At 49.7% G+C, this 18,022-nt stretch overlaps 2 protein-coding genes across 13 annotated transcripts in view, besides 3 other annotated features; one reads left to right on the forward strand and one right to left on the reverse strand.

Annotated features, from left to right (window-relative positions):
* Positions 1-623: part of an enhancer, noted in NCBI's record as "H3K27ac-H3K4me1 hESC enhancer chr1:161166678-161167583 (GRCh37/hg19 assembly coordinates)", that runs on past the window's edge. NCBI's record gives its function as "activates a minimal SCP1, AML or CMV promoter by ChIP-STARR-seq in primed H9 embryonic stem cells {active_cell/tissue: H9 hESC(primed)}" and the evidence as "EXISTENCE:reporter gene assay evidence [ECO:0000049][PMID:30033119]".
* The window catches only part of ADAMTS4 (ADAM metallopeptidase with thrombospondin type 1 motif 4), a 14,753-nt gene extending 12,869 nt beyond the window's left edge, over positions 1-1,884 (reverse strand). For all 3 annotated transcript variants that reach the window (NM_005099.6, NM_001320336.3, XM_047434904.1), the window contains exon 1: positions 825-1,884. In NM_005099.6, coding sequence (NP_005090.3) covers positions 825-1,457 — 633 coding nt within the window. In that variant the 5' untranslated portion in view covers positions 1,458-1,884. The remainder of the gene's footprint in view (positions 1-824) is intronic.
* NDUFS2 (NADH:ubiquinone oxidoreductase core subunit S2) lies at positions 247-17,225 on the forward strand. Of its 10 annotated transcripts, none has more exons than NM_001377298.1 (15): positions 247-317; positions 4,977-5,310; positions 6,267-6,373; positions 9,237-9,427; positions 12,023-12,143; positions 12,313-12,425; positions 12,687-12,761; positions 12,941-13,018; positions 13,134-13,219; positions 13,421-13,540; positions 15,181-15,310; positions 16,210-16,305; positions 16,479-16,562; positions 16,694-16,751; positions 16,986-17,225. In NM_001377298.1, the coding sequence occupies exons 2-15, from the start codon at positions 5,216-5,218 to the stop codon at positions 17,021-17,023; spliced, it is 1,392 nt and encodes a 463-aa protein (NP_001364227.1). In that variant the 5' UTR covers positions 247-317; positions 4,977-5,215; the 3' UTR covers positions 17,024-17,225. The 10 variants fall into 10 exon arrangements, 9 of the variants coding, with proteins under 9 accessions (NP_001364227.1, NP_001364229.1, NP_001364230.1 ...); NM_004550.5 differs by lacking the exon at positions 247-317 and adding an exon at positions 2,145-2,353; NM_001377300.1 differs by having other exon boundaries at positions 16,694-17,225.
* Positions 3,149-3,870: an enhancer, noted in NCBI's record as "H3K27ac-H3K4me1 hESC enhancer chr1:161170109-161170830 (GRCh37/hg19 assembly coordinates)". NCBI's record gives its function as "activates a minimal SCP1, AML or CMV promoter by ChIP-STARR-seq in primed H9 embryonic stem cells {active_cell/tissue: H9 hESC(primed)}" and the evidence as "EXISTENCE:reporter gene assay evidence [ECO:0000049][PMID:30033119]".
* Positions 5,135-5,464: an enhancer, noted in NCBI's record as "active region_1985". NCBI's record gives its function as "activates an Ori minimal core promoter by ATAC-STARR-seq in GM12878 lymphoblastoid cells {active_cell/tissue: GM12878}" and the evidence as "EXISTENCE:reporter gene assay evidence [ECO:0000049][PMID:35858748]".

Raw genomic sequence — 18,022 nt, forward strand, 5'->3', positions numbered from 1 at the left:
GACTGCCGTCAGGAGGGACTTTGGGGTTCTCCAGGCCTGAGTGTGGCTGGGGCCTATGGGACCAGGGCTAGAGGGCTGGGCTGCAACGTGTCTGCCCTGTGTGGTTGGAGGAACGATTCAGTCAGCAGCTAGGGCCAGGGCCAGAGCTCAGCGTGGCGGTTGTGGAGGGAGCGTCTGGTCTGGATTAAAGCTAGAGAGGGAGGAGGGAGGAGGGAAGGGAAGAAGGGGGAGACCAGGAGTGGGAGGGAGGAAAGGATGGAGCCTCAGGCAGCCTCGCAGTCCGGCCACAGTGTGTGAAGGGGATTGACCAGAAGGAGGTATGGGATACCCTCCCTCTCTTGCCACTCCTGCCCTAGTTTGCAGTTTGCCACAGTGATTTTAAAGGCAGCATCAGAAGCCAGACACCAAGCCCTAGGGCCTCAAACCTGACTCCTATAGCTGGGAGTGGGGGATGAAAATCAAATTTGGAGCAGAGAAAAGAGCCAAGGCCAAGGGGCTGTTAGGAGACCTTTACTGCTGGGGACTGTGTCAGTAGGAGATGCCATGGCCAGGAAGGGGTGGGGTGGGGAGAGGGAGCAGTTATTCCCAGCCCAGAGTCTGTGACCCACCTCTGAGAACCCTCGGTGGGTCTGGCTAGGAGAAGGGTGAAGGGGAGAGGCCTGAGCCTTACCAAGAAAGGAGGCTCATGGAGAAAGGAAAGGCAGGCAGAAGGGAGGGAAGCAGAACGGCCAGAAGTGTAAGTGGGTGGAGAGAGGGTGAATAGGGGTCAGTAGGACAGACATGGCGGGAGGACACCGCAGGACACAGACTCCAGAGATGCCTACCTTGGCTCTTCGGGGTCTGGGGCTGGGGCTTCCAAGAGGAGCCTTGACGTTGCACATGGGACCTTGACCGCTGGCAGGACTCTTCCGGCGTAGGATGTGAGCCCCAGGTCCCCCAGCAGAGTTAGGGGTGCCTCCCTCCAGGGGCTGGAGGTGGAGTTCAGCCCCCCGATATTGTAACACGCCTAACAGGGCTCCCCCATCCCAGTGCAGAGATGCCACCGACTCCGGATCTCCATTGATGGTGCCAGTCAGGTAGGTGCCAGGCTCTGCTCCACCCAGCAGCTCAGGCGCCTGGCCCAGGTACTGCACTGTCAGCCCCTCGACCTGCACACCGGAGTCCTGCTCCAGCTCTAGTAGCAGCGTCTCCCCAAAGGCCTGCAAGCGGCACAACAGCCTGGCAGGGGCGCCCGAGCCAGGCAGGACGCTGCCGTTGAGCTTCTCTGGAAACACGATCTCCTCCTCCCGGGGGAGGGGGCTGGCCAGCCGGGCTGAGGGCAGGAGAGAGGCCAGCAGTAGCAGAAGCAGCCACACCAGCCAGGAGAGCGGCACAATGGGGAGCAGGAGGCAGGGTTGGGCTCCCCACAGCCAGCGCCCTGCCAAGCCCCTCCCGGGATGCGAGCCTGTCTGGGACATGGCACTGGTACTGCAGCTGGGAGGGACTGAGGCCGTCTAGGGCACCAAGTCCTCCACACCCTAGCTTTGGAAAGCTCCTCTCTGTAGCCTGGGGGCTTGGACTCCTGCCAAGGTCAGAGGCAAAGTTTTCAGAAGGGCTGAGGACCGTTAAAGGAAATGGAGAAAACTTAGTCCTTGGGCTTGGGAGAGGTGCCCAGGGGTCTGGCTTCTCCAAACTCTCCTCCTGAGCCCTCCTTTCCTGGATCTTTGTCTCTCCCTGCCTGTGTCTTCTGCAGCTTCTCTGGCCTCTCCCTCTGTAGGACTCTGTCTGGGCCGCTTCTGTGCCTGCCCTGTCTCTGCCTTCTTCCGCTGTGCCTTTGTCTCTGTCTCTTTCCTCCTCTGTCTCTCTCGTGCATATGTGTCTGTGGGTCTCCCTGTGGGTTCTCCCCAGCCTCTCTCCGCGCCAGCTCTTTTAAGCATGGTGAGCCTCTGCGATTGATTGGCTGATCTCTAAGCCACTCAGCTGAGCTCTGTCGGTGGGACTCAGATGGGTGTATCATCGCTTCCCAAAAAAATGGGACTTGCCCAGGGGAGGGGAATCTCTAGCAGCCGAATGGATAATAGGCACTGGGCCAGCTGATGACATAGCCTTTTCCCAAACCCCACAATCAGCCCTCAGCTGTCTCTTTCCCTTTTTGGTGGGACAGAGCCCCAGGAGAGGCAGAGAGTGAGGGAAAGGGCCTGGCCGGCATGCACAGATAGGATCACGGTCCTGGGAGAATTCCTGCTCTTATAGTCTAACCTACCATGGCTTCTCTTTTCTCAAGGCTCCCTCATGCTGCCCTTTGGCCCTAGTGGCTGGTTTCCAGGGCTGAGGGGACTGAGTGAGCTGCCTGAGAAAAGAGGGTAGGGAACAGGTAAGGAGGCATCAAGAGGGAAGAACAAATAAAAGAGGTAGCTTGACATGGCTCAGGATAGAACTGAGCAGCTGGGAAGAGTAAAAAAGGCAGAACATTGGGGGAGGCAAGGAGACAGTGATCAGGGAGTTGACTGCCCAAAGGTAGGATGATCCTGCTTGGAATGAACATAACAGAGGCGGCAGATGACAAGGCAGGAGGGGTTAACGACTTTTCCTTTTATAGAAGGCGGATCCAGGGTGGCACCTCCTCTTTTCTAACGTCCCTTCTCTCCCTCAGGATCCCCCTTCCTGAGTTACCACTACCCACCCCCTCCAAAGCCCAGAACAGCCATTCCGCCTCCATTTCCCCCCAGGGTTCCCCCTCCCCACTTCCTGACTCCCCATTTCCCTGGCCCAGCTCCCAGTAGCTTCCCCCAGGCTTTTGGCCCTGCTCCTACCCACTCCCAACTGCCCTAAACCCTCCCCCAGCCTCAAGTCAGCCAGCCCCCAGCATAGGCAAGACTTGCTCTCAGGAACCCAGATTCACCCAGTATCAATCTGGGAGAATCCCCACCTGGCTCCCACCATCCACCCCACCTTGCTCTGAGAACCCAGTGGTTCCTGGAATATCTAGTCATCTTTTCTTTTTAATTCTCCCTGGGGCAGGGAGAGGGTGGAGACAGCATTGTGCATATAGGGAAATTAGGGTACTGGGAGAAATCCATTGCCTGGGGTGGGGAAAGTGGCTGGGGAGGAAGAGGTGGTGTTAGGGAAAGGAAGCAAATTATTCCTTTGGCTTTGGATAGGAGGGAACTCGGAAAAGAGGTCTTGGGTATGAACTCTCAAGGCAAGGAAGGGTTCAGAAGTAGGGGCAATTTCTGCTCACCCCATCCTCTGGCTGCTTGTTTCCCCAGGAAATCCCCAGGAAGGAGAGTGCAGTCAGCAGTCTCTTTCCTTTCCCAGAAGTGGACCACCTCCTCTTGCCTCTATTCCCCTATTCACTCTGCTTTGTCACCTCCTGTCCCCCGCATATCATATCCGTCAGAATACTTCCTTTCCCCCTCCCTTCCTGCTCAGGTCGGTAATACCTGCCCTGGTGCCTATCACTTCCTGGATCACCCACCCCCTTGTGACTGCCAGACCCACCTCTTGACCCACCACTTGCCTGACCCTGGTTCTAAGCCAACGGGGCTGGGACTAGAGGAGTCGGACAAAGGGTGGGAGACCAGAAGGGGCAGGGGCAAGAGGAGCTATCACCAGAGAACTCTACTGCCCCTTTCCACTCCCCTATTTGAGATGAGGACAAAGGGGGTGACTAAGCAATGAAAGACAAAGGGCTTTAGAGTGGCTGCAGCAGTGTGTGTGGGGGTGTTGGCAGCAGGGAGAAGGCACAAAAGCTGCAGTGTCCTAGGCAGCCCCTCAGGAGCCCCCCACCCCAGTCCCAGCTCAAGCTGCCTCCAGGGCCAAGCAGCCCAAAGTCTATCCTGACTTCTCCCAGGCTGGATCAAGGCAAATAAATGCAGTCCTTCCCATCCCCCACCACCATGGCCACATTTGCTGTGTTTCAACAATAGAAAGAAGGCCCAGGGAAAGAGCAAGGAATGAGGACAACAGAGGGACCAAACCTCTGCCCTGGCTCTGTGGCAGCTGCCTTGTCTAGCCCAGGTCCTGGTCAGTTCCCACAGCTAAGGATCTGGCCCCACCCTTTGGTACAGTTCCCATTAGGTCAATTCCCAGGCCAGAAGTCTGGCTTTCCCCTCTTTCTCTGCAGTGAAGAATTCCACCATCTCTGCTTCCTGGTCTGTCTGCCTCACCCTGCTGCGCTGCTGGTGGGCTGTGTCCCTGGGATCCTGTCTAGGGGATATCTGGGGAAGGCCTCTTTCCAGGCTCAGAGTTGGAGAGTTGTACAAACTCTACGGGTGGGTGGCCCAGCTGGAGTTGGGCTTAGAGGCAGAGGGAGAAAACAGGAACTAGCCTCTAAGGCTGGAAGAATCTTTGTCCATACAGAATTGTGATCAGACTCCTGGTGCTACTACATTTCCGTGCTGTTGGCCATTACCCAGGAGGGCTATAGCAGGGTCAGAAAGACGTTAGGGAAAAGAGGCTGACGCAAGACGGAAGTGGGGTGTGAGGCATCTCTAAGGGCGCTTCCTGGGTCTGTGATTCTGTAGGTTCGGGAAGCCTGGAGGATGTCAGGGTCACCCACAGAGGACCTCCACTCCCCCATCTGGGATGAGGTGGCTCCTACACACCCCGACACTCCCCTCCGCACCACCAATGCCGGCGGCCTTGGCATCCTATTCTTTTTTGTTTTGGTTTGGCGGGAGCTCTCAGACCCGCCCAGCCCCACTTAGGCTCCTTTCTCCAATCTCAATTTATGACATCTGGAAATTAGCTGGCTTTCCCAACTCCTGTCTTTTGGATTCAGTGATGGGAAAGTAATTGGCAAAGCCTGGGGCTACCCTATAAGGGCAGGGCTCAGATACAATCCGAGAGCAGGACTAAAGCATGAGGGCGGCCAAGGCGGAAGGGAGTAGGGAAGGAAGCGCCGCGCGTTTCCAAGATACGCAGGCGGGCTCGGCGAGAGAGCACGAAGTATCTGCCCCACGCAGGAACGGCAATTTTCCCTTGCTCGCTCCTAGAAAAGCCAGCCAGGAGCTGTGGGAGGAAACGCCCTCAGTAAAGATGACCGCGGTCACTGTTATCTAAACGCAAGTGAAGCCGAGTCACAGGACCCGGATGTTGTCAGTTCGACGGTAAACGACCCTGCCAGCTTCCAAGAGGGCGGCTTCACTGTGCGAATAGGTGAGAAGCCAAGAAGGAGGCGCGCTGGAGTTACTTCCGCCCGGTTCTCCTTCCCGCAGTCTGCAGCCGGAGTAAGATGGCGGCGCTGAGGGCTTTGTGCGGCTTCCGGGGCGTCGCGGCCCAGGTGCTGCGGCCTGGGGCTGGAGTCCGATTGCCGATTCAGCCCAGCAGGTGAGATCGAGGGCAGCTCTCGACACACTTTCTCCAAGGCTAGGGTTTCTCAGGTTGGGGACGCTTTACTCCCCCAGAAAATAATAACCCAAGCCTGTGACCCCATTGTCCATCCCTGATTTCTTGGGCTACGGGATGCAGTGGCGCCCACTCTGGCGAGGGAGGGGAGAGGGTCTAGAGTTCGTTCGTGCCGAGGTGAAATCAGCGGAGTGGGAGACTCTGCTTTTTAGCTTCAGTAATTTGAATGCACCTCTCCTGTCATACCTGAGTAGAGCTCAGCCAAAGAGCCAGAATGCTCGCTGTCTCTCTGTCGTTGACCTTGAACAAACACTTTTCTCACGTTCATATTCACCTGGTTGATAATATCAATATGATGAAAATATGAAGAAGCTAGGATCCCAACCTTGCATGCCCAGGGGTGATGGGTGGAGTTATTCCAGGAATAATTTGTTAGTAGGAATGGAACCTCTAGAGTTCCAGCTTGTTTTGCCGAAGCTACATTAACTTCAGATCAGTGACTTGGCATTAAAAAATCCAGGACATTGGCTGGGCGCGGTGGCTCACACCTGTAATCCCAGCACTTTGGGAGGCCTAGGCGGGCAGATCATCTGAGGTCGGGAGTTCGAGACCATCCTGACCAAAATGGAGAAACCCCCGTCTTTAAAAAAATACAAAATTAGCCGGGTTTGGTGGCGCATGCCTGTAATCTCAGCTACTTGGGAGGCTGAAGCAGGAGAATCACTTGAACCCGGGAGGCGGAGGTTTCAGTGAGTCGAAATCACACCATTGCCCTCCAGTATGGGCAACAAGAGTGAAACCCAGTCTCAAAAAAAACAAAAAACAAAACAAAACAAAAAAACAGGTCATCCTTCCTGGGTCCCCTTGAGAGTGAATGGGAACACAGGAACCAAACACTGTTCAGGCCCTTTGTCTAGGATCTGTCTTTGACTCCCCAGAGGTGTTCGGCAGTGGCAGCCAGATGTGGAATGGGCACAGCAGTTTGGGGGAGCTGTTATGTACCCAAGCAAAGAAACAGCCCACTGGAAGCCTCCACCTTGGAATGGTGAGTGACCAGAGTTGCTGTCCCAACCCACACCCATCCCTGCCCCCAGCTGATTTCCTTTTCTTTTTTTGAGACAGGGTTTCCCTCTGTCTCCCTGGCTGGAGTGCAGTGGTGCGAAAGTGGCTCACTGTAGCCTTGAACTTCTGGGCTCAAGGCAACCTTCTGTCTCAGCCTCCCCAGAAAGCCGCAACAACAGGCCTGTGCCACCACAACTGGCTAATTTTGAAAATTTTCCTTTTGTAGAGACAGAGTCTTGCTATGTTGACCAGGCTGGTTTCAAACTCCTGGCCTCAGGTAATCCTCCCAACTCAGCCTCCGAAAGTGCTGAGATACAGGCTTGAGCCACCATGCCTGGCCTCCAGCTGATTTCTAAGTGCTCTTGAGCTCTCTGTCTTAGGCAAATTTTAGCCCCTATCCTGTTTGCTTCTTTCACCACGAAATTCAACAGACATAATAGTGATAACAACAGGTATTTGTGAAGTAGAGAAGGAAAGGAAGGATGTTGCAGAAGAAAATAAAGAATGGGTCCCAGTAAATACCCAAAAGTCCCTACCAATTTAAATATTAATGCCAGCTTTTCCCATGTTCAATATATTTCAGGTTCACTACATTATCTCCCTCTCCAGACAAGGTGGTGGTTTTCCCGTTGGTAACCAAATGAAACCTACATGAATACAAACCATTTTTTTTCCTATCAAAACTAGCTCTTCCTTTTGACTTTTGATTTTGATCAGTGGCACCCTCATTCTCCTAATCCCTCAGGATTGAAACTTTTTAGTCATCTTTGGCTGTTTTATCTTGCCCTCCATGTCTATGTCCAGTAAGTTACCAAACCATGTAGATACTTTCGTAATGTCTCATATCTGGTCATCTCTCCCTTTTAATTTTTATTGCCATCATTCTTATTCAGATTTATCTTGTATTAGACCCTGATTATTTTAGGAGTCTATTCACTGAGTTTTTGCCGCTGATGTTGTCCCCTTTCCATCTATCCTATACAGTGTCATCACCTTCATCTTCCCCAAACATTATTTTACCATGTTATTCATACTCTTGCTCCAAAACCTTCAAAGACACTTCCAGTTACTTTCCACAAACTTACAGTAACAATAGCTGAGTGCTTACCATTTGCCAAACATTTTCGTATGCATTATTTTGTTTAATCTTTACAACAGCTCTATGAGAGTATTACCCCAGTTGTGAGGAAATTATGGTCTAAGGAGATTAAAACTTGATTAAAGCCCGGATGCGGTGGCTCACACTTTGGGAGGCCGAGGTGGGCGGATCACCTTAGGTCAGGAGTTCAAGACCAGCCTGGCCAACATGGTGAAACCCCGCCTCTACTAAAAATACAGAAATTAGCCAGGCGTGGTGGCACGCACCTGTAATTCTAGCTACTCAGGAGGCTGAGGCAGGAGAATCGCTTGAACCTGGGAGGTGGAGGTTGCAGTGAACCGAGATCACGCCATTGCACTCCAGCCTGGGTGACAGAGCAAGACTGTCTCAAAAAAAAAAAAAAGGTTAAGGACACACAGGCAGATTTGTACTCGGGTCTGTCAGACTCCAAAGCCCATCATGAAGAATTTTGGTGGAAAAGATGGGCTCTGGTTTCAAATCTCCACTCTCAATTTACCAGTGAATAAAGTGTCTATTTATAGCATTATTTTAAGGATTAAATGAGATAACATGTGCCTGGCACATGTAAGTCCCCTATAAGTGTTCATTGTTATTAATGATATGTACAGATAATTGAACCACTACCCCCTACTTTGTCCCAGTACTAATCATCCCTCTCTTAGGAAGTCCCAATAAGAGTTCCATGGATGTTTACTTCCTTGTTTCTAAGATTTGGCCCATGTTGATTTCATAGCCTGGAATGCTTCTTCTCCCTTCTAGCTATCTAAATCATTTCCTATATTTGAGCTCAGATCCTACCTACATGAAGTCTTTGCAGTGTTCTTTCCTTCTTTTAAAAACTTAATGGCTAAGGCACTTTCTTGGTTACTTACAAATTTGGCCTCTGTTCCTAGTTTTTCACATGTACTTCTTTCGCAAATTAAAATGTAAGCTTCAGATTAGGTGGGCATGGTGGTGTGCGCCTGTAGTCCCAGCTACTCTGGAGGCTGACACAGGAGAATTGCTTGAACCTGGCAGGCAGACATTGCAGTGAGCCGAGATGGTGCTGCTGCACTCCAGCCTGGGTGCAGAGTGAGACTCTGTCTCAAAAAAAAAAAAAAAAGGTAATCTTCTTGAGGGTAAAAGTTCATTTAGTGCGAGTAAGCATTAGGTATACCATTTCCTGACTGGTTGGCCATTCATTGGATACATTTGGAGGACAGTATATCATAGTAGTTAAGATGTTTGGATCCTGGAGCTAAACAGGCTGGGTTAAAATCCTGGTTCTGCCACTTACTAGTTTTATGATCCTGGAAAAGTCATTTAAGCTCCATGGCCTCAGTTTATCCAATGAAATGGGGATAACGATAGTACCTATTACTCATAACAGTTGTTGTAAGAATTAAATCAATTAAAGTGCCTAAGGTAGTGCCTGGCACATAATAAAGCTATATAAGTGTTATGTATTATTAAAAAGATATTCTATGCACACTGACTATGAACCATGAAAAAAAAAAAGGTATTCTAGGAGACATAGAGTGAGATTCATGATGTCTGTCATCAGAAAGTTTAGATCTTCCTTTTCCCCATCTAAGAGTCCTCTTCCTGGTTATAGTGGAGATTAGGAAATTAACAAAGTATGGAATGGTGAGTTAGAAAATCTATAGGGAGAGGCTAACTCCTTGCTATCTTTTGGGGGATCCCAAGGGAATAACCATGTGGCTCTGAACTATTTCTTACTTCTCAGATGTGGACCCTCCAAAGGACACAATTGTGAAGAACATTACCCTGAACTTTGGGCCCCAACACCCAGCAGCGCATGGTGTCCTGCGACTAGTGATGGAATTGAGTGGGGAGATGGTGCGGAAGTGTGATCCTCACATCGGGCTCCTGCACCGAGGCACTGAGAAGCTCATTGAATACAAGACCTATCTTCAGGTGTGGGGGGTGAACAGGAGCCTTTTGGCGGGATCTGGGGTTGCTTTAGCCTGGGGCTTTGCCAGTTTGCTGCCCTTAAAACGTGAGGGGAGGAAGGTGTTGAGAGGAGTAACCCGTTGAGATTACTCTTGGTTGGGTGGATGGAGGGAAGTGGCAGGGGATGCTTGAGTCATTAGGATTTGGTTTATTTAGCAGCAGTGCTTTGAAGCTGGAGCTATACTCAGCTTTTCTCTGGCTGACTTTTTGGCAGGCCCCTTTGCCATTACTTGAGTGCCTCAGTTTCCCTGCTCTTACGTTAGACTAGTGCGTCAAAGCCAGTGTCCCTAGGGGCAGGGAAAGAGAAAAGACATTAGCTCGCTAAGTTTAACAGCTGATTCTTGTATCTTCCAGCTGTCTACGTTTGTTTTCAAAACATTCAATGAGTCACAGCAACTCAGAGAGGGTTTATGACAGTTTGCCATTTTTAGGAGAACTGTATAACCCAAATGATGAAGGTCAGATTTGAAGGAGTTGGATCTCTAATAGGAATCTGAAGTTTTTTTCTTACTGTCATGAAGAAAGGTCCTGATAACAGGATGGTAGGATTAGGATTTAGATCCAGCCCAGTGTCGGGGTGAACAGTGACTAGAATGTGATTCCCCAAGAGAGCCTCGGCGATGACAGTTTCTGGTCCTGGAGTCTATGGGTTAACCCCTGTAGCATTAGCCCCCGTCACAGTGACATCAGAATAAGAACAGGCTGTCCCAGCTAGTAGCGTCTTAGCTCCACCCTCTTCCTGGAAGCTGAAGCTGGTTCAGCAGACAGCTAGGACTTGGCTTTTTGGCATTCTGGAGGAAGGACCATTTCTACCTGATGCTCTGTCTTCCTTAAATACCTCACTCTGGCCGGGCTCACGCCTGTAATCCCAGCACTTTGGGAGGTCGAAGCAGGTGGATTACTTGAGGTCAGGAGTTTGAGACCAGCCTGGCCAACAAGGTGAAACCCCATCTCTACTAAAAATACAAAAATTAGCCAGACGTGGTGGTGTGCGCCTGTAGGAGAATCACTTGAACCTGGGAGGCAGAGGTTGCAGTGAGCCAAGATGGTGCTACTGCACTCCAGCGCCTGGGCAACAGAGCAAGACTGTGTCTCAAAAAAAAAAAAGATTAAAAAAAAAAACCCTCCCAGATACTCTTAAGACTGATTGCCTTTCTCCTTCAGTATCTGAAGTTTTTTGTTTGTTTTGTTTTTTTCCCTACGGAGTCTCGCTCTGTCGCCCAGGCTGGAGTGCAGTGGCGTGATCTTGGCTCACTGCAACCTCTGCCTCCCGAGTTTAAGCAATTCTGTTTCAGCCCCCAGAGTAGCCAGGATTATAGGCACGCACCACCATGCCTGGCTAATTTTTTTTTTTTTTTTTTTTTTTTTGAGACGGAGTTTCACTCTTGTTGCCCAGGCTGGAGTGCAATAGTGTGATCTTGGCTCACTGCAAACTCCACCTCCCAGGTTCAAGCGAGTCTCGTTCCTCAGCCTCCCAAATAGCTGGGATTACAGGTACTCACCACCACGCCCAGCTAATTTCTATATTTTTAGTAGAGATGGGGTTTCACCATGTTGGCCAGGCTGGTCTCAAACTCCTGACCTCATGAGCCACCCTGACTTGGCCTCCCAAAGTGCTGGGATTACAGGTGTGAGCCACCGCGCCTGACCAGTATGTCAGTTTTTTAAATTTTTATTATTTTTTGAGATGGAGTTTTGCTCTTGTTGCCTAGGCTAGAATGCAGTGGCATAGTCTTGTCTCACTGCAACCTCTGCTTCCTGGGTTCAAGTGATTTTCCTGCCTCAGCCTCCCAAGTAGCTGGGATTACAGGCATGCACCACCACGCCCTGCTAATTTTGTATTTTTAGTAGAGAAGGGGTTTCTCCATGTTGGTCAGGCTGGTCTCAAACTCCTGACCTCAGGTGATCTACCCGCCTCGGCCTCCCAAAGTGTTGGGATTACAGGCGTGAGCCACGTGCCCGGCCAAGGACTCTTGACAGTGGTATCCTGGAGCTAGCTCATACGGGCTTGCAAGAGTGCAGTTGTTAAATTTTCAGGAGTTTTGTGAGCCAGTTGTTGAACATAGCCATTGTCAGAAATTAATTTATATAAGCTTATGATTTAATACATTATATTAAAAGCAAAGGTAAGATTAAATATTCAAAGCTCATCACTTCATTATTTTACCACATTTTACTATGCTCTGCCTTTGAGGTATTTGCTTTGAATGTGTCTGTATGGTGGAAATACTGTATAATGGTGTGGTATTCTTCCCAATGCTGCATTCAGTTACATGATATTGGTAACTTAAAATTGGCCATTGTGGGAGTATTTTTACCATGGAAATTGGCAAACATGACAAATCAGAGTCCTCCCTCACTTTGGAGAGCCAGTTTTTAAACATTTACTAGAATACTACTGGTTTTTGGGATATTTTTACCTGCCTTGTTGGGGCTCCTGAGACTAGAAAGGCTTATACAGCACCAACTTCTGGTGCCGACTGAGAGCAAGGCTTCAGGCAGCCAGACTGTGGGCTCCTGAGCCTGTTAGATGTGACCCACATTCCTCCCTCTTCCCAGGCCCTTCCATACTTTGACCGGCTAGACTATGTGTCCATGATGTGTAACGAACAGGCCTATTCTCTAGCTGTGGAGAAGTTGCTAAACATCCGGCCTCCTCCTCGGGCACAGTGGATCCGAGGTATGTCCCCCCAACTTTTTCTGTGGCCCACTGTGAGCATAGCATAGTGCCTTTTCCACCACTTCCCCGTTGAACCCAAGCTTAGTGTTCAGACCCCAGGCTCTGCCCAGACCTCTCTGTCCGCCTCAGTGCTTGGCTCCTATATCCTGTCTTCTCCTTGTCTTCACAGTGCTGTTTGGAGAAATCACACGTTTGTTGAACCACATCATGGCTGTGACCACACATGCCCTGGACCTTGGGGCCATGACCCCTTTCTTCTGGCTGTTTGAAGAAAGGGAGAAGGTAAGAGTGGGAGGAAAGGATAGGAATAGGGAAGGAAGTGCAGGAAGTAGAGAAGGTATAAAGGAGACAGGAGATTAAAAGAAGAGAGAGAACATGGGAGAACATTTAGAGGGGGAAGGTATGTTTAACTTGGGTTATATTTGTAGAAACTATATCATGAGGGGTTGGTTGGGCACAAGAAGGCAGAAAGTGGGGGAGTAGGCCATCATAGGACCTGGGGGCCTGGGACTTTGACACTAATTCCCAGCACGTTCTATGAAGATGTTTGAGTTCTACGAGCGAGTGTCTGGAGCCCGAATGCATGCTGCTTATATCCGGCCAGGAGGAGTGCACCAGGTGAGCAGGTCCCCGGCTTCCCCAAATGTCCAGCCCAGGCCTATTTTCCCTGTGGCCACTGGAGGGCAGTGCTGGATGATGGAAACTCCAAACCTGTATCGCTGGGGGAGGGGGTGCTGAGAGGGCTCTCCTTAGTGAAGGCTATGCCACATTCAGTAGCACTTCCGTTTGGCTTCTAGGACCTACCCCTTGGGCTTATGGATGACATTTATCAGTTTTCTAAGAACTTCTCTCTTCGGCTTGATGAGTTGGAGGAGGTAAGCTAGGAGTCAATGGGAAAAATCTCTCCCCCACAAGAAGGGCTAGAGAAATACAGAGATATTTGAAGAGTGTGAGGAAGAGTATTAACACACCAGTTTTCTTGATCAATAGTTGCTGACCAACAATAGGATCTGGCGAAATCGGACAATTGACATTGGGGTTGTAACAGCAGAAGAAGCACTTAACTATGGTTTTAGGTGAGGGGAATACAACTTCTCTCCGTAGGAGTGGGGGTGGGAGTGGGGGAGTTCCAGCCTAATATCTTGTCTTTGAAGACTTGTTGGCATCCTCCTAGTCATACCCTGAATGTGAAGGATCAACAAGGGAGGCTAAGGAAGAAGGAGCCTCCTTACTTAGTTTGTGGAGAGTGGCCCTTATTCCCATTATGCTCTCCACAGTGGAGTGATGCTTCGGGGCTCAGGCATCCAGTGGGACCTGCGGAAGACCCAGCCCTATGATGTTTACGACCAGGTTGAGTTTGATGTTCCTGTTGGTTCTCGAGGGGACTGCTATGATAGGTAAGGCCCCAATCCTTTCTTGGCTGATATTCCAGCTAGTTTCCCCTGCCTCACTCTTCTCTTTGCCACTTCCTTCTTTACCCTACTTCTCAGTGTCTGTGGGAGCTCTTGTGTGTGTTAGACGAGGTTGCTCTCAAAACACTTTCACATATATGGAATCTTACTTATTTTTTTCTTTTTTGAGACGGAGTTTTGCTCTTGTTGCCCAGGTTGGAATGCAATGGTGCAATCTCGGCTCACTGCAACCTCCGCCTCCTGGGTTCAAGTGATTCTCCTGCCTCAGCCTCCTGAGTAGCTGGGATTACAGGCATGAGCCACCACGCTCAGCTAATTTATGTATTTTTAGTAGAGACGGGATTTCTCCATGTTGGTCAGGCTGGTCTCAAGCTCCTGACCTCAGGTGATCTACCCGCCTCGGCCTCCAAAATTGTTGGGATTATAGGCGTGAGCCACCACACCCGGCCTATGGCATTCTTTTTATCTTTACATTATCCTTGTCTTAGATGGAGCTAGCTTTGGCTGCATTTTATAGCTGAGAAAGCTGAGGCATAAAAGTTAGGGATTAGCTGGGATTATTCTTCAGGAGTGGTCGAGACTAGAATCCTCCTGATCCAGTGTTCTTTCTAGTAGATCCTAAGCTTCAGATTCTCCTCCTGGGCCAGGCACAGTGGCTCATGTGTGTAATCCCAGCATTTTGGGAGTCCAAGGTGGGTGGATCACTTGAGGTCAGGAATTCAAGACCAGCCTGGCCAACATGGTGAAACCCCATCTCTACTAAAAATACAAAAAATTAGCTGGGTGTGGTGGTACATGCCTGTAAGTCCAGCTACTTGGGAGGCTGAGGAAGGAGAGTTGCTTGAATCTAGGAGGTGAAGGATGCAGTGAGCTGAGATGGAGCCACTGCATTCCAGCCTGGGCGACAGAGCGAGACTCTGTCTCAAAAAAACAAAAAACGAAAACCAAAAACAAATTCTCCTCCTGTTTTCTCACCCTGAGTCAGATTTGTTACTGTGTATTGTTTTTTTTATTTTTGTTTGTTTTATTTTTTGAACCTGGTAGCTACTGCTGTTATTTTTGTTTGTCCATTTGACTCTCACCCATCCTGTGGTCCAAAAAGTGCTTAAGGAGGTAATTAAAGAAATAAATACTACAGGCCATGTTCTGAGAAAATAAGGAGAGGGTTTGGGGAAGCACCCAAGAGTAGAAGCAAACGATTACAGGGGGCTGGGGTTGGTGGCTCATGCCTATAATCCTAGCACTTTGGGAGACCAAAGCAGGCAGTCGCTTGAGCTCAGGAGTTGGAGATCAGCCTGGGCAGCAAAGTGAAACCTCGTCTCTACAAAAAATATTCGGATGTGGTGGTGCACGCCTGTAATCCAAGCTACTTTGGAGACCGAGATGGGAGGATCACTTGAGCCCCAGAGTTCGAGGCTGCAGTGAGCTGTGAAACCCTGTTTCAGAAAAAAAAAAAAAGACTACAGGGTTTATATGGGTGGCCAAGCCAAGCAGAGATGCTGTACTTGGAGAAAAGAGTGGGGAGAGTTGACCTAACCCTTTTGAGGTTGGCCAAAGGGCATCCTTCCTAGCCCCATACCTGCTCCTCTGACTGTTCTTCTCTTGCTCTGTCTCATCTTCTTGAGGTACCTGTGCCGGGTGGAGGAGATGCGCCAGTCCCTGAGAATTATCGCACAGTGTCTAAACAAGATGCCTCCTGGGGAGATCAAGGTTGATGATGCCAAAGTGTCTCCACCTAAGCGAGCAGAGATGAAGGTTGGCTGCAGGGAGGGGGAAAGTGTGGGGTGTTGGAAAGGGGCCAGTGGCTGGGGAGGAGTATCCTTGGATTAAATCCTATCTTTTGGTTTTCTTTTTTTTTTGAGACAGAGTTTTACTCTTATTGCCCAGACTGGAGTGCAATCTCGGCTAACTGCAACCTCCGCCTCCCAGGTTCAAGCAATTCTTCTGCCTCAGCCTCCCAAGTAGCTGAGATTACAGGCGTGTGCCACTACGCCCAGCTAATTTTTTGTATTCAGTAGAGACAGGGTTTCACCATATTGGTCAGGGTGGTCTCGAACTCCTGACCTCAGGTGATCCTTGGCCTCCCAAAGTGCTGGGATTACAAAGCGTGAGCCACCACACCCAACCCAGTTTTCTTTTAATAGAGAATTTACTGTGTAGTAAGAGATTCGGGTTTTTTTTATTTTTTTATTTTTTTTGAGACGGTGTCACGCTCTTTCACCAGGCTGGAGTACAGTGGCATGATCTTGGCTCTCTGCAACCACTGTCTCCTGGGTTCAAGCGATTCTCCTGCCTTAGTCTCCCGAGTAGCTGGGATTACAGGCACCCACCACCACGCCCAGCTAATTTTTGTATTTTTAGTAGAGACGGGGTTTCACTCTGTTGGCCAGGCTGGTCTTGAACACCTGACCTCTTGATCTGCCCACCTCAGCCTCCCAAAGTGCTGGAATTACAAGCGTGAGTCACCGCACCCGGCCATATAAGAGATTCTTAATCTCCCATAGCTCTCCTGTTTTATTCTGTATCCTCTCTGCTTACTGACTGACATGTGGCTTTAGTCTCCCTGAGGGTAGAGATTATTTTCTGTGCTGGGGGAGGCCTAGGAGACAGAGTTTGGATATGGTTTATTGATGCTCCCTGTTTCCTCTCTTCAGACTTCCATGGAGTCACTGATTCATCACTTTAAGTTGTATACTGAGGGCTACCAAGTTCCTCCAGGAGCCACATATACTGCCATTGAGGCTCCCAAGGTAAGGAGAGGAGGGGAAGGAAAAGACCATATGTAGAGTAGGTAGCTAAAGATAGATGTTTAACAAATAGCTCATTCATCAATGAGAGAGAAAACAGAATGAATAGAGGTTTTGTTGGCAGAGAAAAATACTCTTCATGTTAATACAGACACCCAACCTTCTTCCTTGAACAGGGAGAGTTTGGGGTGTACCTGGTGTCTGATGGCAGCAGCCGCCCTTATCGATGCAAGATCAAGGCTCCTGGTTTTGCCCATCTGGTAAGAATCAATCCCAGTAACTATAACTCCAATGAATTAAACCTGACCTTGGTTGAGGTTTTTATGAACTCTTCTTTCTCCTCCCACCTTGCAAGTCTTAACTAACATTGTTGCCATCTCAATCTCCCTAGGCTGGTTTGGACAAGATGTCTAAGGGACACATGTTGGCAGATGTCGTTGCCATCATAGGTACGAGGCCTATTGTGTAGTAGAGGTATCCTAGACAAAGGAGTTCGGGACGCCCACTGGGGACAGAAGGAGAACACTTCCTGTTCACCATAGGCCATGGCATGGACTCGGGTCCTCAATCTTTTGAGCACAGTAATGGGTTCTGGATCTTGGGTAACACCACTTTTTTTGTTTGTTTTGCCTCACAACAGGAAGATAAGTAACATCACTTTTTTCCTCCATCCTCTCACCTAGGTACCCAAGATATTGTATTTGGAGAAGTAGATCGGTGAGCAGGGGAGCAGCGTTTGATCCCCCCTGCCTATCAGCTTCTTCTGTGGAGCCTGTTCCTCACTGGAAATTGGCCTCTGTGTGTGTGTGTGTGTGTGTGTGTGTGTGTATGTTCATGTACACTTGGCTGTCAGGCTTTCTGTGCATGTACTAAAAAAGGAGAAATTATAATAAATTAGCCGTCTTGCGGCCCCTAGGCCTAAACTTCTGGTATCTTAGTGTCTCAGTATCTTAGTGTCCTTCACTCGGACTGTAAACCTAAGAATGTTCATTAACCCTCCATTCCTGTTAGATTCAGTCAGGTCTTAGCAATTTTTCCTGCTCGTCTCCACCCCCTTCTCTGACTCTTGTCCTTTCCACTTCTCTATTCCCCATTTCCTCTTTCGCCTCAGTTCCCTCCTTGCCCAAACCTTCTCAGTGCCCACATAACTTGGTAAACCACTCAAATCAAGACCTGGGGTAAAGTTGGGAGGGAAAGGGCTATAGTGGGGTCTGAGGGAATGTTGACGGGCAGTTTCACACAGATAAATCTCTGAACCAGCCGGGCGCAGTGCCTCACGCCTGTAATCCCAGCACTTTGGGAGGCCGAGGCGGATGGATCACCTGAGATCAGGAGTTCAAGACCAGCCTGATCAACATGGAGAAACCCCATCTCTACTAAAAATACAAAATTAGCCGGGCGTGGTGGTGCATGCCTGTAATGCCAGCTACTCGGGAGGCTGAGAGAATCGCTTGAACCTGGGAGGCGGAGGTTGCGGTGAGCCGAGATGGCGCCATTGCACTCCAGCCTGGGCAACAAAGCAAGAGTCCGTCTCAAAAAAAAAAAAAAAAAAAAAAATCTGAACCAGGTGGAGTGGAAAATGGCAGATGTAGACAGCCTTTCCTGAGCGTGAAAGTCTCCTCATTCTGTGGGTTAGGAGTTGGTCATTGAAGGGCTGACGCTTAAGAGCCCAGATCTCCCAACTCCCTTAGTTGGCCCTTCCGGGAGCCGCCCGGTCTCT

The sequence above is a fragment of the Homo sapiens genome, chromosome 1 (assembly GCF_000001405.40).
Source record: "Homo sapiens chromosome 1, GRCh38.p14 Primary Assembly".
NCBI classification, from domain to species: Eukaryota; Metazoa; Chordata; class Mammalia; order Primates; family Hominidae; genus Homo; species Homo sapiens.